A 22,414-nucleotide genomic window follows, 5' to 3' on the forward strand; every position below is an offset into this window, starting at 1 on the left:
TTCTGTGTTTTGGCTTTGGTTTTGTTTGCCAGTGCCTTTTCTTAGACAAGAATACTTAACACAGATAACTCCATTTAAGTAACACATGGAAATAGGTTATTATTTGCATTTTTGGTATTGTTTTTTAAGATGGTAGGTGTGGCAGTAAGAATGGTTTTTGTTCTTATTTTTCTCTTAGCAAATTAAAATTGCTTTTGGAGGAAATTACTTTTATGAAACATACTAATTTACTTAGGTGATAGAAGTACTTCTTTACATTTTACATTAAATCAAAATCATATTCAGAATATATGAGATAGCCTATGTTTTGGAAGAGATTATTAGTAAAGATGTGAGCAGATTCCATAGCACACTGAAAATGTGATACGAATGTTCTTTGCATTTTTCTTTTAATATGTCCTTTTAGTTTATTTCACGTTTTATCAATTTTATCTCATTGTAACAATAGGCAATAGGCTCTTTAACTTAACTTTCTTTTTTTTTTTTTTTGAGATGGAGTTTCGCTCTTGTCGCCCAGGCTGGAGTGCAATAGCCTGATCTCAGCTTCACTGCAACCTCCGTCTCCTGGGTTCAAGAGATTCTCCTGTCTTAGTCTCCCAAGTAGCTGAGATTATAGGCGCCTGGCACCACGCCTAGCTAATATTTGTATTTTTAGTAGAGACAGGGTTTCACCATGTTGGCCAGGGTGGTCTCAAACTCCTGACCTCGGGCGATCCCACCTTCCTCAGCCTCCCAAAGTGCTGGGATTACAGGCATGAGCCAGTGTGCCTGGCCTTTAACTTAACTTTCTACAGTTAATTTCTTATTTTCTTCTACCTCTCTCATTCCTGTGTCCACCTTGAGCCCAAGGTTTGCTATTTTGTTTCTTGCCTCATTCAAAATGAAAAAAGTGAGGTAGCTATTTAAAACACATAATGATAAGCAACTTAGGGAATTATAGTTAAAGGTAACATCGGTAGACAAGATAAAGCCCAGGGAAGTATTTACAGCAAAAATACATGCTGCAGTAACCTGAACACATACTATATTAGGCAGCATATTTGACTCAACATTTTTTTTCTTTTTTTCTTTTTTTTTTTGAGACGAAGTTTCACTCTGTCGCCCAGGCTGGAGTGCAGTGGCACTACCTCGGCTCTCTGCAACCTTCACCTCCCAGGTTCAAGCAAGTCTCTTGTTCTCAGTTTCCCAAATAGCTGGGATTACAGGCACCGGCTACCATGCCCAGCTAATTTTTGTATTTTTAGTCCCGACCTCAGGTGATCTGCCCACCTTGGCCTTCCAAAGTGCCAGAATTACAGGCTGAACATTTTTTTCTTTGGAAAGAAAGAAGATTCACTTGCATGGATCAGTCTTCACAAAGTAAGACAGATAATCTAGAAGATGCATCACTATCTTGGTACTAAGGCCTGAAGTGTACTAAGGCCTGGGGCTTCATAATGAAAATTGTATAATGGCGCAATCTATGTTAACATTCCTAGAGGTAAAATCACCAATTTCATTGGGTATGGTATAGGCCAATGTTACGTTGAAGTGCAATTCAGTAAAAAATTTTTAAAACTTCCAAAGTGTTAGAATCCCAGCAAATAGCTCTTTCAAGGCTGGGCTTGATCTAAGCATTAAAAAGTTGAAATTCCAGAGGAATTGGTTATCTGCATATTATTTAGACAAACCTCTACAGATAATTATTTTTAACCCTGAGAAGTCATACAATGCTGTGTGTCAAAGATAGACTTGAGGTGGAATCAGTGGTTCATGAACACTGGGGATGAATATATTCAACTGCCTACTCAGTATCCTCAGTTGACTAATAGGTTGCAAAGTGTATCTCCAGGTAACAAATTGTCCTTTGATAGTACAGACTGAATGTATTCATGTATTGATCTGGCTGCTACAGATGTGAGAAAAAAACATTCTTATGTTGAAAGCTTAACCTCCAATGTGATGGTATTAGAAAGTGAGGCCTTTGAGTGGTAATTAGGGAATAAAGGTATACCCCTTATGAATAAGGCTGATGCTCTTATAAGAAGAGACGCAAGAGTGTTCTCTCTGCCCTCTGCCATGTGAGGCTCCAAGGAGAAGGCTGACTACAAATCAGGAAGCAGGTCTTCACCAGAACCAAATCTGCCAGCACCTTGATCTGGGACTTTCCACCTTCCAGAACTGTGAGAGATGAATCGTTGAAGAAACGCTGTTTGTTAATTTCTTAACAGGAGCTTGAGCTAAGACAGAGGCTCTATATGCAGGTAACCTAGTGAGAGTACGTGGGCAGAGTGACTGTTTTCTGTTTTCAATTCATGAATGGAGAAACTTATTATAAAATGCATCCCAAATTAGGCAATTATTAGATAGCAAAACCAGATATCTAGTCCATGTCAGAAAACCATGTCATAAAGGAGAGTACTTTCACTTTTACGAAGGGGTTGTCCCATCAAAGTTTTCTTTATAATACATTTTATCACTTCATGCCTCCAGTTTTTACTATGGCAGAAAATCATTATGAGTTGGAATTAAACCAATTATGTAACTGATTCAGGTTTTGAATTAGAAATTAATTCCCTTGTCCCTACTCATTCCCTACAACATGAAGATGTTGAGACATCTTACTAGGTTATTTTGGAAGGAGTCATTCTTGACTCTGACATCCCACCTTTTCTCCCTTTCACATCCAACCTGCGAGCAAATCCAAAAATCCCATTGATTCTACCCTCATTATATACTTAGAATCTGGCCATTTAACATGAAGATTTATGCATACATATTTTTTCTTGGGAAACCAAAAATAGTTTTGGTGCACTATGGATGACCCTAATGTAAATAAATTGTGATCTTTTAAAAATACGATTTTTTCATAATTTGTGTAGTGTGACTTTTAAGTTAAAAATTTATTATTTAAAGAGGTTCAATGAGTAGGGGCCTTTGTAACATTCATGATACGGGGATTGCCCTCCCACTCTCCTCAGATAACTGTTTTCTACACCTGCCTCCACCCTCCCATATGCAATTATGTTTCAGGGGCAGGATTTGCCCCTCAATATTTCTAAATCTGTGCTAAGGAATTCTGCTACGATTAGTGTTTTTCTGGCAAATACACAAACATAGATGCTCTGTCTTCAACTGCAATTTTTAGGGAGCAGTGTCATTCCATGGTCTAGATTAGTGAATAACATTTCCATCTTGCCTTTGAAACAGGATGGTGTCGCTTCCAGCTGCTGTCCTCTCGTTTTTTCCACAAAGGGCATCCAGAACAGCAACAGCTAAGGCAAATAGAGAGATATTCCCTGGTGCTCAGTGGAATGTCCCTGGGCTACTCTTTACCTTACTTCCAACCTTCGTGTTACCCTGCCCCTGTGTTCCTCTGCTGGCCCCGGTGACGGTCTGTGCACTCACCTCCTCCACGTTTGTGGAGTCGCTAGTAAGCATTAGGCATGCAATTTGGAGGTAGGACAGGAAGAAAGCTAGAGGGTTAACGAGTTCCAGTCTCTGGACCCTGGTGTTCAAGCTCAGAGCCAGCTTTACAGTTTCAGCCTTTAAACTCACATGAGGAACTGCTACAGTTTACTAGGCATCAGCAAGCCGCTCCACTAGGGGGCAGCAGGTGAATTGCACTGAAATTCTCAAATGAAATAATAAACCATCAGGTACAGCAATGCTGGGGACATTGTCTGTTTCTGCCAAAGCCATCAGCCTGTGGCTAGCAGACAGGATTACTGCAGGGGGAGAAAAGGCTGTCTGCAACGCTGAGTGAAAGCTAGAGGCTGCCAACAAAACTGAGCCTCCCTATCACTGTGTCCAGGGCTTCTCTCCCTCCGCCCTGGGTCAGTTTGCTCTCGCCAGTGTTCCCTCCTTGATCCTCTTCTTTTCCAACCCTACATCCTTGGGTACATGCAGCCAGCTTAATTCTAAAATCCTTTCCAAGAGCATCTTTCAGGATAAAAACTCTTTTCCAATATTCCCCAATATTACATTTCGGTAACTAAAAAGAACTACTGATTTTCTCATTGACATTCTTCTAATCAGTAGTTCTCAACCAGGGATGATCCCCTTCCCACCCCAGAGGACATTTGGCAATGCCTACAGACATTTTTGGTTGTCACGCTGGGGTAGGGGGGTGAGGGATGATGAGAGCTACTGCCTTCCAGTGGGTAGAAGCCAGGGACGATGCTCAATATTTTCCTCTATCAGACTCAATAACACTAACTTTTTTGAATAAAAAATGTGACATGAAAATATTTTAATTTTCTAGAAGTCTCAGTGAGCCATCTTATTTTCTTCCATAATTTAAATATGCAGTGATGACCCTCAGGTCTGTGTATCTAGGTCTCATTTTTCTATTAATCTCCAGACCCATGTTTCCAAATAATACGAGATTTCCATTAGAACGTCACATAAGTCTCAGTAGATCATAGCCTAACAACTTTTCCAAATCTCTCCCTGTAAATTTGCTTCTCTGATAGCCTAGCTTGGTTCGCTTATTCATTCAACAAATATGTCTAACATTTCTCCAACCATAGACTACCTCTGATTGACTAATGGACATTTCGGGGTTAGCATATTGAAAACGGAACTGCTGATCACCCCTATCCCTTACCCCACTAGCCAAACTTGTACCTCATCCAAACTTTCCCACCTTGACACAAATCAAATTGCTCCAGCAAAATCCTACTCATTCTTGATTTCTCCCTTCTCATCCCACATAAGCAACTCCTTTGACTCTACCCCCATAACATATCCTGAGTCCCAAGTGGCATTCAGTTTGGAATGACAGGAAGGGATGCCAGTGTAAGGAGAATGTGCTGGGAAGGGGCAAGAAGGGATCTAGGGAGACAGGCTAAGGGTCTCTGGAAGAAATCCAGGCTGAAGATGATGTAGCCCAAATCAGAATGGTGGCCAAGGACAGAAAGAACTAGAGGAAATAGAGATACATATTTCAGAAGTGGAATTGGTGAGGACTTGGTTGTAGAAATGCAGGAGAGGGGAAAACAGGATAATTCCCAGGTTTCTAGCTTGAGTAACAGAGAGGATGTGATTAGGGAGCCTGTGAGAGGTGAAGGCAGATTATGCAGGAAACTCAAGATACCCATTTTCGAGAAGCTACATTTGAAATACTTATTGGACATCGAAACTGAGATGGCAAGCAGGCTAATGGATATGTGAGTATGTAAATTTGGAAGCAGTCAGCAGATGGAGTGTATTTAAAGCCATTAAAATGAATGAGATTATCCACAGCAAGTACTTATGAAAGAAGAGAACCCGAAACTGAGCCCCGAGGAGAGGGGTAGCCTGTCGAGGAGGACATTAGACTGTCACGCCACAGATTCCAAGAGGGAGAGCATTTCAAGAAGAGGAAACCAGCCATCCTGTCAAATGCTGCTGGGAGGTGAAGATGAGGATAGGAAAGTACCCAATGATTGTGGCAATTGGAATTCATCTGCAAGATGACAAAAGTGATTTTATTTCAGTGTTGATGGCAGAAGACAGACTGGAGTGGGCTAAAGAGAAGATGTTTGCTGAGGTGGTAGAGGCCGTGTTCCTAGACAGTTCTTCCCAAAAGTTTTCTTCTGCTAGGGAGTAGAGAAATGAAGCAATAGCTAGAGGAAGATAGGGAATTAAGAGGCCACTGTGTGTATGAGTGTCTGTAAGTGTGTGCACTGCAAACTGAGAGATCAATATGTATTTATGCTGCTGGGAATTATCAAGTAGGAGAGGAGACTGTGGATGCAATGAAGCCAGGTTCAGGGGAGGTCTTTAATGCAGCTCCATCATGAGAGGATGGGCCTCAAGGCTTGCGCTTATTAGGAAGAAGAATGCATTCTCTATTGTTACACCTGAAAGTTGAACCAGGAGGAGGACCTAGGACAATACCCTAGAAGCCTGATTCATTTTCATGCTTTTCTGGAATATGTTGATATGGTTTGGATCTGTGTCCCCACCAAATCTCACATTGAAATGTAATCCCCATTGGTGGTGGTGGGGCCTGGTGGGAGGTGATTGGATCGGGGAACAGATTTCTCATGAATGGTTTAGCACCATCTTCTTGGTACTGTCCTCATGATAGTAAGTGAGTTCTCATGAAATTTGGTCACTTTAAAGTGTGTGGCACCTCCCTCCTCGCTCTCTTGCTCTTGCTTTAGCCATGGGATGTGCCTGCTCCTCCTTTGCCTTCCACTATGACTGGAAGCTTCCTGAGGCCTCACCAGAAGCAGATGCTGCTATGCTTCCTGTACAGCCTGCAGAACCATTAGCCAATTAAACTTCTTTTTTTATAAATTACTCAGTCTTAGGTATTTCTAGCATTGCAAGAATGGACTAATACATATGTCTAGAAGCATGAGTGTCTGAACCTGCCGTCACCACAGCCCCATCTATAATTTTGCTTTTCATGTTTTTCTGCCACTAGATGTAGACAAAATAAAAAATTCCATTCAGTCAAATATATTGATGATTTAATGGCCAGTGTCATATGTCATGTGTTTTTCCAGAGGTTTAATGGTTATTTTTCCTGATTTTATCTTGCAGAGTATGAAGGCCAGGGAAATCAAAGTATGTACTTCTAGTTAGCATAAGATGTAGTTATAGGGGGTTAAAAATAGCAATAGGTAAGACACATTCTCAAAGCTTTTGAAAAAGTTATTGCCAGTAAACTTTCTCATTCAAAAACTATTTATTAATATATGTACAGATATTTAATATTTTAAAAATAATATTTTTATTAATATATTCTTTACATTGAGCTCGAAATCATTTTTCTTCAATATGATGGGTGGCATTCACTCAACACCTATTATGTGTCAGGCATTCTGCCTATGTTAATCCTTAAAATAATATTATGGAGCAGATAGTAATAATTGCGGTCACTATTTATTAGTGTTTACTATGCATCAGGCACTGTGTCAAGAGTTTTACATAAATTACTGTTGACATAAAGGAAAAAAATCTGACGCTAAATTAATATTAGTAAAGAGATTATTTGGGCCAAGTTTGAGAACTGCAGCCCAGGAACATAAATTCAAGTTGCCCTGAATATACACTCAGACTAGCAGGAGTTACAAGCAGGTTTTGTTTGTTTGTTGTTTGTTTGAGACAGAGTCTCACTCTGTTGCCCAGGCTGGAGTACAGTGGCGCAATCTCTGCTCACTGCAATTTCCACCTCCCTGTTCAAGCAATTCTCCTGCCTCAGCCTCCCAAGTAGCTGGAATTACAGGCACATGCCACCAAACTCAGCTAATTTTGTATTTTTAGTAGAGATGGGGTCAGGCTGGTCTCGAACTCCCGGACCTCAGGTGATCCGCCTGCCTCTGCCTCCCAAAGTGCTGGGATTACAGGCGTCAGCCCCACGCCTGGCCACAAGCAGGTTTTTAAAGGAAAAAAGAAGCAGCAACTTCTAAGTTGTTTACCAGGAATTTGCATTAAATAACACAAGCTGTTGATTGGCTATACATTGTTCTTTGTAACACATATTCCAGGAACGTGAAGATAACAGGTGAGGCAGCAAATCAGGAACAAAATAACCTTAAACAATTGCCCCAGGTGGTGGAGTGTGACTGAAGACCCATGTTCCTGTCTCTCTGGGCTTTTGCAAAGGTCTGCAAGGTTCTCTGAGGCTTTTGCAGACCTCACATAGCTCAGGCTGCTCTGAGCTATTTTTCTTTTTTCACTACTTATTAAATTTTTATATGGCATAATATTATAAAATTTTAACTGGTATTTTTTTCTGTGACATTTTCTTGTGTCTTTTGGCCTTCATCTGATTCAGAGAGGCAGAGCATTTTATTCATTTTCCCCAGGAAGGAAAAGCAGAAAGTTGGGGTGGGAAGCATTTCAAAATCCTAGCCTTTTTTGGGGAAAAAGCAAAGAACTAAAGTTTTGGAAAAATGACTGGGGCAAACACATGTTTATTTAGTAGCTGGGCTTTCCTGCCCCAAGAACTAGACAAAAATGCCCTGGGCCAGAGGCGGGTGAGGGGGGTTGTATGAGGGAAGCTAGCAAGCTTGTCCAACCCACCTTATTTTGTCGTTGCTGTTCAGTTTTGTTTTGTTTTAGGCTTTTAGCAGCCTGAAGTCATGGTTTTCACTTTCTGTCTCTAGTAATGAGCAGAAAAGAGGGATGAGGAAGGGGCTTTACTGGCCCAACCAGAAACAGAAACTAAGAACCCATGACTGTATTCTCTCCCCTGGACAACCCTGTCAGAGAGCAGGAATATGAAAAAGATCCCTGTCCTGTCCACCTCACCCAGTCCCCAGCCACGGTCCACCCCTGCAGGGAGGGCTGCTGTAAGCTTTTTGGGTGGAGCCCCAGGAAGGCAGAAAGACTCCTGGGAAGAAGTGGATGTGTGGTGTTTTTAAGTGGGTGGAGCCCTTTGCAGTGTTTCAGAGAAGTAAAGAACCACAGCAGTCTCTGGTCCTGATAAGGTCATGCAGACAGGAACCAAGGATGACAGTTAAGACTGTAGGTATATGAAGACTAAGGGCCAGAAGTTTGATGACTTCTCATTGGATGCTGAGAATCCCCATTCTCTCCTTTATCACTAGGCAAGCACTCCAAAAATTAACGAAAAAAGGTAAAAGCATCTGTGGGAAAGACAGTGTGCTGTGTGTGTGCATGGGTGTATGTGTGTGTTGGGCACAAAGGGAACCCATTGTCCCGAGCTGGCAATTGTGTCATCATCTGGTGGAATAGAGCCTCACAGTAGGAATGAAGTAACCCTGTGATGTACACTTGGGTGTAGAAGCAAAGTTTTGCCAGTGTCAAACCAGCAAAGGGGCTAAGATTTGAGCCTAAACTGACTGCAAATTCTAATCCTAGGGAGTCTAACACTATGCTAGATTGCCTTGGGATTTATAGATGGTGAACATGACTCATGGGAAGATGAAAACACTTGCCCACAATCCAGAGCTCATGGAGGGAAGTTGGTGTCTGAACCCAGTCTTGGCTCTTTTGTCACATGCCTCACTGCCTCCTTAGAGTTAGTATGTACTAATTTTAAAGCTGAACTTTTTTCTTTTTCTTTTTTTTGAGACAGAGTTTTGCTCTGTCACCCAGGCTGGAGTACTGGCACCATCGCAGCTCGCTGCAGCCTCTGCCTCCTGAATTCAAGCAATTCTCATGCCTCAGCCTCCCAAGTAGCTGGGACTACAGGTGTGCACCACCATGCCCTGCTAATTTTTGTATTTTTAGTAGAGACAGAGTTTCACCATGCTGGCCAGGCTCATCTCGAATTCTTGACCTCAAGTGATCCACCTGCCTTGGTCGCCCAAAGTGCTGAGATTACAGGCATGAGTTGCTGCACCTGGTCAGCTGTACTTTTTAAATTCTAAAACACTGTATTGGTCAGTCTCTCTAATGGAATATGGATATTTACAGCAGAATAGGTAATAATAACTTGAAAGGAAATGTCTAGTCCAATGATTTCATTTTAGGGTAAGAGATTTTCCTGGAGAGGGCATAGAAGATGCAGCCCCCATGAGCCCCTAGAATTTATTCCCAGGAGTAGACTAAGATGGCAAAAGATTCTTATAGCTAAAGACAATTAAGGATGGTGTTTGTGCTTATGTTGCTCTGGGTATCTCACAAATTTGTGGGGGGCCACCAATCATTGCAAACCCATTAATTCATTGCTTTGGATATCTCACAAATTTGTGTGGGCTGCCAGTCACCAGATGGTCCCTCCTAGGACTGAATCTCCCCAGGATTAACCAGGCAACCACGGTTGAGACCACTTACAGATGGAACTACTTAAGACAACCTATCCTGAAGCCTGACAGGTTTGGAACAAAGAGTGTGCTGCTTAAAATATTACTTGTCTTGGGGTTTCTAATTTGTTTAGTCTGGCCACTGAATGTGACCAGAACATCATGCCTCTCAGATGGTAGAGACCAAAAGACAGCACTCCCACTTGGTCACTACTCAAACTCTCAAGGATATAAAATAAGACAAGAGGGGAACCTCATCCGGTTTTATTTTGGAGACTCACAACAAAATTTGTCTAAATAGACAAAAGTCTGGTCAAAACCACAAAAATGTCCAGTTTGCAAGGCCAGCTTGAACAACAGCCTTATAGAGATTTTAGGCCCATGTTCTACCCTGTGGTGAAAATAAATAATTCAAAATCTAAGCTGCTGAAACTCTAAATTAGGTTTGAGCCTTAAAGGGATGTGATTATGGTACCTGAGTCACATGACAGACAGCTGTAACCTTTGTTTCTCTGATAACAGATTAAGCCTTCTTCCTTACCTGCATTGTTTTGTAACAATTTTAATTTACAACATTTTAGTTGTAAATGACTGAAGGGCACCAAGGAAGACCCCTTCCCTCTACACTGTTGATCTTCATTATAGATTAACCTCCCTCTTACCTTTTTCACACAAAGACTTCATGGCTATCACATTGTCTTAAGGCGGAAGGTTAAATTCACTCTTTCCATTGGAAAGGAAATGAAAACCAGCTATAAAGAAAACAAGCCATACTGAAAAGAAACGAATTGTACCTAATTAATTTGTTATAACTCTATAACTTGTATAGAAAATGTTGAAATTAGTCCTATTAAATTTCTTTGTCTTCTTCCTATATAAACAAGAACTTAACTTTTAACTTTAGAGCATTGATCCCATTTCTCTGGAGTCTGTGAGTCCCAGAATGGTCATTCCCAGCTTTTCAGTTGAATAAACTCTTTAAAACTGGATTCTGACCCTTTTTATTATATCATTTCAGGTTGACATATCTGGCTGCCCAAGAAGGGACCCAAAGTGAATCTTGCCTTGACTGCTGCTGCTTTGTCAATCAATACCTGGTACCAGCAGGACTGTTTTTATCCAATTGACTTTTGCCAAAGTTTTCAGGAGCCCTTGGCAAGGCCCCTCCTAGGTTCCAAACATTATCTCTAATACATCCTACCTTATTGCAAGGTCCCACTCCTCCGAGTAAACACTTGGTCCAAATGGCGGGTGTTATAAATACTCCTGTATCAGCGCATAAGTCTCAACCTGTAACTTTTCAACTAGGTCCCTTACAGGGGACACATGTTTTACTTTTGGTTTCCTTAGTTTCCATCCATCTAATAAGAAAACTTCTTAGAACTATATAATACCCATATTTCTTTCTCCTAGAAAGGTGAAATGTATTTAGAATTAGATGCTATACATGATAAAACATAATTAACAGACAGAAAATTTTTCAAAATCATCTGGGAGTGGTGGCTCATGCCTGTCAGCCCAGCACTTTGAGAGGCCGAGGTGGGTTGATCACCTGAGGTCAGAGTTTGAGACCAGCCTGACCAACATGGTAAAACCCCATCTCTACCAAAAATACAAAAATTATCCAGGCATGGTGGTGTGCCCCTGTAGTCCCAGCTACTTGGGAGGCTGAGGCAGGAGAACTGCTCGAACCTGGGAGGTGGGGGTTGCAGTGAGCAGAGATAATTCCACTGCACTCCAGCCTGGGCAACAAAGTCAGACTCCATCTCAAAAAAAAAGGAATTTTTTCAAAATCGAATCCAATTGCTATCCATCTTGCCTTCAAGTCACTGACTTATTAAGTGATGAATTACAAAATGCAATAAGGCAATACCTGATCAATTGTGGTCAAAGTCCTGCATTGATACAGGAAAATATTGTTTCAACTACTTCAATAAAAATTTAAATAGACTCATTGGAAATGGCTTCCAAATAGCAGATAATTTAAGTAGACTCATTGGAAATGGCTTCCAAATAGCAGACAATATCCCTTCAGAACTGTAGCCCTAGAAGAAAAAAAAAAAACATATAATCTTAGATTATATAGAAAGAGTACTGGTCATTCTGTGTACAAGTCCTTGCAATGCACCAATTCTCCTGGTAAGAAAACCTGATGGTAGAGGGTGGAGGTTTGTAGAGGATTTGAGAGCAATAAACAACAAAGTAATTCCACAGCATCCAGTTGTGCCTAATCCTCACACACTGCTCACAGCCTTCCCATCTAATGCGGAAATTTTCGGTCATAGTTTTTTGTTTTTGTTTTTTTGTTTTTTTTTGAGACAGAGTCTTGGTCTGTCACCAGGCTGGAATGCAGTGGCACAATCTTGGCTCACTGCAACCTGCGCCTCCCAGGTTCAAGTGATTCTCCTGCCTCAGCCTCCCAAGTAGCTGGGATTATAGGCATGCACCACCGTGCCCAGCTAATTTTTTGTATTTTTAGTAGAGGTGGGGTTTCACCATGTTGGCCAGGATGATCTCAATCTCCTGACCTCATGATCTGCCCGCCTTGGCCTCCCAAAGTGCTGGGATTACCGGTGTGAGCCACTGCACCCGGCCAGTCATAGATTTACGTAGTGCATTCTTCAGTATTCCTTTAGATAAAGATAGCTAATTTATCTTTAACATCATGTGGGAAGATAGACAATATACCTGGACAGTCAGGCCCCAAGGATACACTAAAAAGTCTGACTTACTTTTTACAAATATTAAAAACAGACCACTCAGACATTGACTTCATTGAGAAGTCTGTCTTAATACAATAAGTAGATGATTTACTTACTTGCTTAAAGAACAATGGGCTTTCATATACAACAATTGGCCCTAAAGGGTGATAAGGTTTATAAAGGAAAAACTTCAATTTTGTCAAAAACAAGTAAAGTACATAGGCCATCTGATAAGGTTTGGCCCACTGTCCCCACCCAAATCTCATGTTGAATTGTAATCCCCATTGTTGGGGGAGGGACCTGGTGGGAGGAGATTGAATCATGGGAGCGGACTTCCCCCTTGCTGTTCTTGTGACAGTGAGTGAGATCTCATAGATCTGAATGTTTAAAAGTGTTTAGCACTTGCCCCTTCACTCTCTCTCTCTCTTCTGCTCCACCATGGTAAGACGTGCTTGCTTCGCCTTTACCCTCCACCATGACTGTAAGTTTCTGAGGCCTCCCAGTCATGCTTCCTATACAGCCTGTGGAACTGTGAGTCAATTAAACCTCTTTGCTTCATAAATTACCCAGTCTCAGATAGTTCTTTATAGCAATGTGAGAACAGTCTAATATACCATGTAACAGTCAAGGAACGACTTCCTATTAATCCAGCTAGGTTGAAAGGAATCCTAGCTTTTCCACCACTGAGAAGCAAGAAGCAATTGAGAGGGTTTTGGGGGCTGACAGGATATTGTAGAAATTGGATAGCCAACTTCTCTTCAAAGGCCCAGCCCTTATATACTCTCTTATAACTGGACATTACAGACCTTCTAGACAGGACAGAAAAAAATCAAATAACATTAGAAATGATCAAAAATGACTTTGCTAAATCCTCAGCTTTAGTACATCCAAATTATTATATAACCTTCCATTTTCAGTATTTAAACACTAAAGTGATGGAAACGCTTTAGGGATTCTAACTCAAAAACATGGAGATCAAAATAGACTTGGGGGTATTATAGCCAATAAAGACCCTGTAGCAAGAGGATGGCCAACTTGTATGCAAACCATTAACAGCTTATGCTTTGTTAAGGCAACTAAAGACATTGCAATGGGAACATCCCTTACTATCTTCATCTCTCATTCTATGGAGGCACTGCTGAACTCATACCATATTCAGTATTACTCAGTTCTCAGACTGGCCTCACATGAGGTCCTATTTCTTTTAGCTCCTTATATCACCATATCTAGGTGTAACAATGTAAACCCTGCAACTCTTTTGCCTTTGTTTTAAGATGAGCTGCTGCACAACAGCATAGCCCTAATTGATCAATGTCTTTCTCCCAGGTCACATCTATTGAGATATCCCCCTTGCAAATACTAATATTGTTGTTTGGCTTATAAATGGACCTTACTTAATGGATGAATCTGGATTCTATAGGGCTGGATACACTATAGTGTCTTTAACTGAAGAAACAGGAAGTGCCTATCTTCCAAAAGCCACTTCACCTCAACAAGTGGAATTAATAATATTAAATAGGTCCTGTCAATTGGCAGAAAAATATATTCACTAGTATTTATACAGACAGTAGATATGTTTTTGGAGTAGCCCATGATTTTGAAGTGTTATGGAAACAAAGAGGATTCTCAATCTCTTCAGGTCAATCCATAAAAAAAAGACATCTTATTTCACAACTACTAAAAGTCATATTATTGCCAAAATCATTGGCCATTATTAAAATTCCGGGTCATTCCAAAAAAGATACTCCAGAATGCAGAGGAAATTAGTGATCTAATAAGGTCACAAAGAGTGCTACTCAAAACGCATCTAAACAGGAAAATCTACCTGTATTAACTTTTAAGGAAGCACTTGAAATTGATATAAAATTAATCCAGAGTCCCAAAATCAGCACAAAAAGTTTGGGACACAAAAGGGCGTAAATATTCACCAAAAGATGAAGAATGGTACAGGTGAAACAACTCACCCATACTTCTTGCTGAATTACAGCCATCATATTTTTAAAGACAGGGTTTCAGTCTGTCACCCAGGCTGGAATGCAGTGGCATGAACATGGCTCACTGTTGCCTTGACTTCCTGGGCTCGAGCTATCCTCCCACCTCAGCCTCCTGACTAGGTGGAACACGCCATCATGATTGGCTAATTTGTAAATTTTTTGTAGATATGGGGTCTCACCATGTTGCCCAGCCTGGTCTCAAACTCCTGGCCTCAAGCAATCCTCCTGCCTCAGCCTCCTGAAGTGTTGGGATTACAGGTGCGAGCCACTGCACCTGGCCTACAGTTATCATTTTTAACACATGTGCATGATCTAACTTACTGGAGTCCTGCCAAAATGGTTGCCCAGGAAAAACAGTATTACTGGAAACCTTCTCCAACGATAGCTCATAAGGTATACAAGCAGTCATATTTGCCCAAAATATAATCCAGGAAAAGCATTACTTACTTCCCAAAGACACTTTCCTTTATCTGAGACTCCCTTTGAAATACAGCAACTAGATTTTTTTCTAATTGCCACTTTCATAAGGCTACAAATATGTCCTGGTAATTATTTGCATGTTTTCTTATTGGGTAGAGGCATTTCCATGAAGAAGAGCAATAGCCTTAGCAGTAAGTAAAATTATTGTAGAAAAAATTATTCCAACCCAGACATTTCATTGGAACTTCATAGCAACAGAGGTATTGAATAATTGGAATAGATAATTCACTGGATAGATAATTCAATCAGCATGTAGCATCTGGCCTATTTTTCAGCATTTCCATTGTGTTTATTACTCCCTATCATCTGGGTTAGTAGAATGCACAAACAGAATAATAAAAACCCAAATGGCAAAATTAACTGAGGCTTTTAAAATTCCTTGGCCAAAATCCATTCCATTGGTTTTGCTAAACAAAAGATTTACTCCTTTTGGTAAAATAACAGTTATCTCCATTTAAAATAACAGGCAAACCTATCAAAATGTCTCCTAGAAATTGTGCCACCTTGTGACTTAGTAAAATAATCTTTTCACAGAAAGCTTCTTGGAAACATAAATCTAAAGAACCACAGACTTGAACCTGGAGATTTTGTCTATTGGAAACATTTCTTAAAAGATTGTCTCCAACCAGGATACAGCGGACCTTACCAGGTACTTCTTACTAATTCTTGTGCTGCTAAACTAGAAGGCATAGACTCCTGGATTCACGTCTCACATCTAAGGAAAGCTGAGCCTCCTGAATAGACTGTTTCACCAGAGAGTAATCTTCTACTTAAAATAAGGCGATGCCAATTGAGAAGAAGATGGTCGCAGACATGGTTGGGTGTCCCAAGACCTGGACCAGGTCTGTATCTAAATTAATGCTTAATATTAACAATTGTTAATAGATGGAGAATATTTTATTTTACAAGCTTCCACCCAACTTCTTTTTTTTTTCTCCTTAGTTCTCATGCCTTGGTACTACTATACCACTTGTTGCCCATAAAGCAACCTCTTTTTGCAATGGGCCCAACACTATGCTAATAGGTTACAAAAGGATGCTCATTGGGTATGTGGTCTCATGTCCCTTTCCAGTAGTTCTGGATTTCCCATGGTGGAAATCTCTTCAAGGGCAAGATTGGATAGAATATCAGAAATATTATATATCCATGTTTCCCCAGCACAGTTATTGGTACTTAACACTAGTATGACTAAACATAATAACCATCACTGGTCTATTACTAATACCTTACAAAATAAAGGGTAAGGGAAGAACTTCTCCATAAAAGAAATTAATTCACTAGCTTTAACGCTGTGCTGCCCCAGTTGAGAGACGAAACAGACACTGCCCCAATTGAGAAATAAGACTGCAACCAAATGTAGGTTCAGCTGCTCACCACTTGCAAAACTAAATAACAAGGACAAGGTTCAGTATAAGGAAATTGACTTCATTTTCCAAAGCTAACAGTGGGGAAGTGGTTCAGGCTCCTGCCTTAATGAAACTGCTTCAAAATTCTTGGGCAAAATGCTAGGGTTTAAGAAGGGGAAGTTTGGTATGGAGGATATGTGGTGGGTGGGGGGTGGTGGGTGGGGGCGTGAGAGGTGGTGCTGGTCTACGTGGCTTGTTTTGATGACTTATCTTGAGTTATTGTCCCATCTTGAGAATGGGTTGACACCATCTCAGGCTTGACCAGGTTGTAAATTAGCTGCTGCCTTGAAGTAATCTTCTGGTGGGAGATAATTCCATAGGCACCCAGATTGTCTCAAGATTCAATCCCTGGAACTTCTAAGCAAACATAATTAGATAAGTTAGCAATGCAAGGAAGTACCTGGTAGAAAGAAGGAGAGTAAAGCTTATTATTTCATTACTAATAAGTTGTAGAAAGGACTGCAGAAAGAAAAAGAAAAAAATAACAAAAATAGGGTCCTTGGTTACAACACCTCACTATCAAATGCCATTCTATTTCTATGGAACTCAAGTGACATATTCATTCTAGCTACTTCCTATTGCAAAGGGGTGTAGTTAAAAGGTATTGGAATGGAACTGATCTACTTGGAGGTGAAAGTGTTCTCAGGTACCTGGGCTCAGATGAAACCTGTTGCAGCATTATGGTGGAGAGCCTTGCAAGTCCCTGAGAAAGTCTATCTAGTATCCCATGCAAAAGGCGCTGCAGCAGTAAAACCCACAGCACAGAAGTATCCCTATTTCCCACAATTATAGTGAGAATTACCAGTAACTGTTCCCATCAGGATGGTCCTGACCCAAACTAGGATGTAAACCATCTAATGGCAATGTAGGGTCTGGGTTTAACATGGCTTGAATTTCTTGCATGTCTTATGTATGTATGTATATATACGTGTATGTGTATGTATATATGTATATATACGTGTGTGTGTGTATGTATATATGTATATTTAACAGATTACAGGAGGAGCTATGAATATTCATGAAGATGGTTATAAACCCTGTCTAGTTCTTAAGAATGGATCAGTTTAGTTAAATGGCTGTTTCCCATTCCAGGAGGTGCCATTGCAGATGGGCTAGGTCTCAATATGTGATGAAGGTGAATAGGAGGTATTTTTATGGAAACAGAAGAAAAACAAAGTTGATGTTGGGCAGAATCTATCTTCAGTTTCAAAAGAAGAAGGCAGTGGCAATCTGACTCATTTTTCTCACCTGTGTCTCAAGGAATAAGCTTTAGCTTGTAAGGCCTCAGTAAAAAGGTAGCAGCAATTTTATTGAGTCCAAGTCAAAAAACTGGAAAAAGAAATTTAAAAGCATTAGTCTGGGGAATTGTTGCCTGGAAAAAATAAAGATTCATTCCAAATTGCAGAAAATAATACAGATCCAAAAACAATGGACAAGACTACACTCTAACAATAGGTGTACTATAGTTTTTTTTTTTGAAACACAAATTTTCTTTTTTCAGTCCCCATTTTTACTAAAGACAAATCATGGAACTATTTGTAAAACAAGTTTTAGTATTATTATATTTGGCCTGATTAGCCTCATTATTTGTATAAAGTGCAGCAAGAATAATTATTTGCCATATAGGCCCTTTTAAAAAAATTGACTTTGCTGGAATGCTATTTTTTTATAAGAAATCTCAGATTAGACTGTTTAAAGCCCTGAGTTCAGCCATGGATTTATCTGCCTGCAAATATCTGTATGAATTGGGTAAATTCTTCTCCTTTCAAGATCCCATAAAAACTTGGAGCTCCTAGGCCTGTCAGAAAGTGACATTCTTTACTTACCACAGGTCAGGAAACCTATATAGGGACTATATAGACAAGAGGTGAGGCCAGTTTTTCTTAGGGGCCTTTTATCAGCTCTGTAAGTCAACTTTGATTCCTTAAAGCAGTCTGTTTATAACTGAAACCATGCCATTCCAGTCAAAGCCTTGGTAAAATAACCAGTGCCTTCAATGGTGTCCTGTTTAAAAAAAAAGAAAACAGATTTTTATTGAACTTATAGAAATAAACATACTGCCATAAATTAAGTATACTTACAAATAGTTTTCAAATTCTGGAGAAATCAGGTAAAGGACAGAAATGTTTCAAATTTTTCTCACAAGAATATACTCTGTAAATCACTCAAAAGAAAAAGAAAGATTTTCTGGACTTTGAAAAACAAAGGAATTACCAATACTTTAAACAAAAAGTCATAAAAAGATTATTTTGGTCTTCCATTAGTTCAGTCTGTGTAATCAACTCTTTTTCTGCTTGATATTCATGAACACATTAGCTCTTCATGGGAGTCTTGGAAGTTTTTTACTTTATTCTAATGTCATACTCTCAAAAGTTATCAGAAACCTGCATTCAAGAGCACCTACCTATAGGATCAGAGTCCTATAGCTGATTATAAATCCGCATTTTGAAAAGAATCAAAATAAAACAACAATTATAGATGACAACAGTTTCAGAGCAGCCTTGGTTGAAGACACAATTGACAAGGAAATTTCATTATCTCTGTGGCACACAATAATTTAACATAGCAACCATTAATTATTACTGATAGCATATACTGAGATATATCAGAATTATAGGAATCTTACACAGTTTTGGAACAGATATTAGTAATACATTTATATGAATGTATAATGAATCCAAGAAAGTTAAACATTATTTTATATTTCACAATGCTTCCTGTATGATTTTAATATCCAAATAAGTCAAATATGTCTCTTTTAGACTTCAGGAGATGTAATATTTAAAAAGGTTAATGAGATCTAAAAAGGCTTAATTTAGAACTTGGAATTTCAATTTTGGAAGGTTTGTCAAATATCAACGGCTTAAAACATTTGATAACACAAAATGGAATCACAGATTATTCATTTAGCTGAAATGACAACTCAAAAATATCAAAAGACAAAAACCTTTACTCACTAATAGAGGGGAGACTCAGTTTTCTAAACAACAAACTGATATAGTTTGTATATTTGTCCCCACCCAAATCTCATGTTGAATTGTAATTCCCAGCATTGGAGGTGGGGCCTGGTGGGAGGTGATTAGATTATGGAGGTGGATTTTTCATGAATGGCTTAGCACCACCCACTTGGTGCTGTTCTCACAATAGTGAGTAAGTTCTCATGAGATCTGGCTGTTGAAAAGCGTGTGGCACCCATATTCTCTCTCTCTCTTGCTCTTGCTTTGTGAGATGCCTCCTCCCCCTTTGCCTTCTGCCATGATTGTCAGCTTCCTGAGGCCTCCCTAGAAGCCCAGCTGATGCAAGCACCATACTTTTTATAAAGCTTGCAGAATCGTGAGCCAATTAAACCTCTTTTCTTTATAAATTATCCAGTCTCAGGTATTTCTTCATAGCAAGAAAAGCCTAATACAAAGACCCAATAAAGAAAACACCAGGCCAACTAAATCTGTCTCTTCTCTCTTTCTGTCTTTTTTTTCTTTGTTTTCTTTGTTTTCCTGTAGCTTACTCAAAAGTCAAAGAAAACCCTTTCATTATCTCTCAATATTATATGAAAATTTTGTTTAAAAAAGAAAAACAAATTTCACCTTTGTATTGTTGCATTACTAACAGTGAAGTTATTTTTTTTCTTTTCTTTTTTTCTTTTTTGAGACATAGTCTCCCTCTGTCACCCAGGCTGGAGTGCAGTGGCATGATCTCAACTCAGTGCAACCTCCACCTCCCAGGTTCAAATGATTCTTATGCCTCAGCCTCCCCAGTAGCTGGGATCACAGGTGCATGCCACCACTCCTGGCTAATTTTTGTATTCTTAGTAGAGACAGGGTTTTACCATGTTGGCCAGACTGGTCTTGAACTCCTGGCCTCATGTGATCCACCTGCCTTGGCCTCCCAAAGTGCTGGGATTATAGGCTTGAGCCACCATGCTTGACCTAAAGTTAATTTTTTATAAAACCTTGTAAGCCAGTCTATTAGTTTGACCGTAAGGTAAGACTTTTATAAACCATTTATAACTCTATAATTTTTTGTTAAAGAGCAGATCAATGCTCTAAGAAACCTCTGTTATTTTGATACATGGGCCCAGATTCTGGCCCTATATCAGTGTCTTTTTATTTTAATACTCAATTTATGGATATACAAAATAATATCCTTTAATTTTAGCCAGCTTCTTCACATGCAGAATTTATTTTATAAGATTAATCAGGCTGGGCACAGTGGCTCACACTTGTATTCCTAACACTTTGGGAGGCTAAGGTGTGTGGATCATTTGAGGTCAGGAGTACAAGACCAGCCTGGCCAACATGGTGAAACCCCATCTCTACAAAAAATAAAAAAATTAGCCGGACATGATAGCATGTGCCTGTGATCCCAGCTACCAGGGAGGCTTGAACCTGGCAGGCAGAAGTTGCAGTGAGCCAAGATCGTACCACTTCACTTCAGTCTCTGTGACAGAGTGAGACTCCATCTCAAAAAAAAAAAAAAAAATTAATCTTCTATAAACCTTTTATAACTTACTTAAACTTCGTTTTTTTAACTTAAAATAATCTTTAAACCATCTAAACTAGGCAAAATTACTTTATCTTTAATAAAAAACCATGTTTCCATGCCTTTTTATAACTTTTTACCAAGACATATTTTACTTTCTTTAGACAACTTGCATGTAAAACTGTTTTTCTAGTAGTCCCAATTACATATGTTATAATGTAAACTCCTAGCAACTTTTATTCTTAATGAAAGATAAAGGAAGTAAGCAATTTTAATTATATACCAGGTGTAGAACCTAGGAGACAGGATAGAACTTCAGATAATGTTTGACTTTTTCCAGCATAGCCAGGGAGCACAGCTAAGTCCATGTGTGCCCTGGCTTTACTTAGAATTTAATGGCTCCAAAGCTGGCGAGTCCAACAATTATTAAAATGTCACAGAAGCAGTTTGTGATCTTAAAACATCTAGCAAAGACAGTATCTGGCTTGCTTAATTCAGAGTAAGTGTCTAAATTCTGAAGACAATTTTATTTTATTTTACCAATAATCTTTACCACTGTCTTTATTTCCCAAAGATTACTAAAGTCACATGACATTTTAAAGTTTTTCTATTTTTCTAATAAAATATTGTGTTTAGCTGCTTATTTTTCTTTCAGCCAATTAATTAGAGCCCTTTTCTATATTTTGGTAGTGAAACATCACACACACAACACATATAAATACACAGAGAGACAGACAGAAGCAGGTGATATTATTTTTCATTTGCCAGTTTTAAGTTTCTTTTTCTTGTTTTAGACGATCGGTCTCTTGATTACCTGTTCCCTTTCCCAAACAATTGCCAGCCAGACAGCTTCAAATTTACATTTTCGTAGAAATATTTATTAGGTGAAACAAAATAGAGAATTCATATTCTATTTAGAGTGAGGAAAAATGGTGTGGGTAAAAGTTCAGTCAAGACAGCCAGCAAAGGCAGACACTCTTACAAATGGAAATTTTCTAAAAGATCTGAGTTTCTTAATTGGAACTTAGATCTGGCTTTAAGATTACTGGCTTTAAGGTGGAGACTTTTAAGGAATAGGGCCAGGAAACATGCATTTTGTAGGGCTAACAAGCAGGCACAGCTGGAAGGCAAACAGACCTCCCCAAATCAAAGATCTCATTTTTCCACCGAATCCTGGGTGCCCCAAAGAGGGAAGTGCTACAGGATGAGATAGTGCAATGCTTTCACAGTGTATACCATCAAAAGGACATTTCTGTGAGGCTGGTGGGCAACCCAAAGCCAATCAGCCCTTTCTGTAATCAGCCCATCCCCCGTTCCATACCTTCCAGTTGTCCAGGAGCATACTCTGCTTATTTAAATGCCCAATGAAAGTTGTATGGCCCTGTAAGAAGAATTATTTATTATAACTGCCATCAGCCATTTTACAAAGTATATTTTTAAATCTAGCTATTACATATCAAGGTCAAAATTCTCTCATAATGCCAAGTAATTTCTGGTCTCCCCCTACAAAGTAAAAAAGACTGGATAAAAGAGGAAGGAACAACAGACAGGAGTATATGGAGAGTCAGACGGAATTCTGCTAAGAAGTGTTTACAGAGAGAAAGCAGGGGCTTTAAAACAATATATGTCTTAAATATCAGTTTTAAGTAAGTTGACTTTTAACT

General features: G+C 39.4%; 1 long non-coding RNA gene across 1 annotated transcript; it reads right to left on the minus strand.

Annotated features, from left to right (window-relative positions):
- Positions 1 to 16,269: 16,269 nt before the first annotated feature.
- LOC105375253 (uncharacterized) lies at positions 16,270 to 18,272 on the minus strand. Its single transcript, XR_927207.3, has 3 exons — positions 18,098 to 18,272; positions 17,520 to 17,600; positions 16,270 to 16,628 (listed from the first exon to the last, which is right to left on the minus strand). It is a non-coding gene; the product is annotated as an uncharacterized LOC105375253 (long non-coding RNA).
- Positions 18,273 to 22,414: the final 4,142 nt, after the last annotated feature.

Source organism: Homo sapiens, chromosome 7 (genome assembly GCF_000001405.40).
Source record: "Homo sapiens chromosome 7, GRCh38.p14 Primary Assembly".
NCBI lineage: Eukaryota > Metazoa > Chordata > Mammalia > Primates > Hominidae > Homo > Homo sapiens.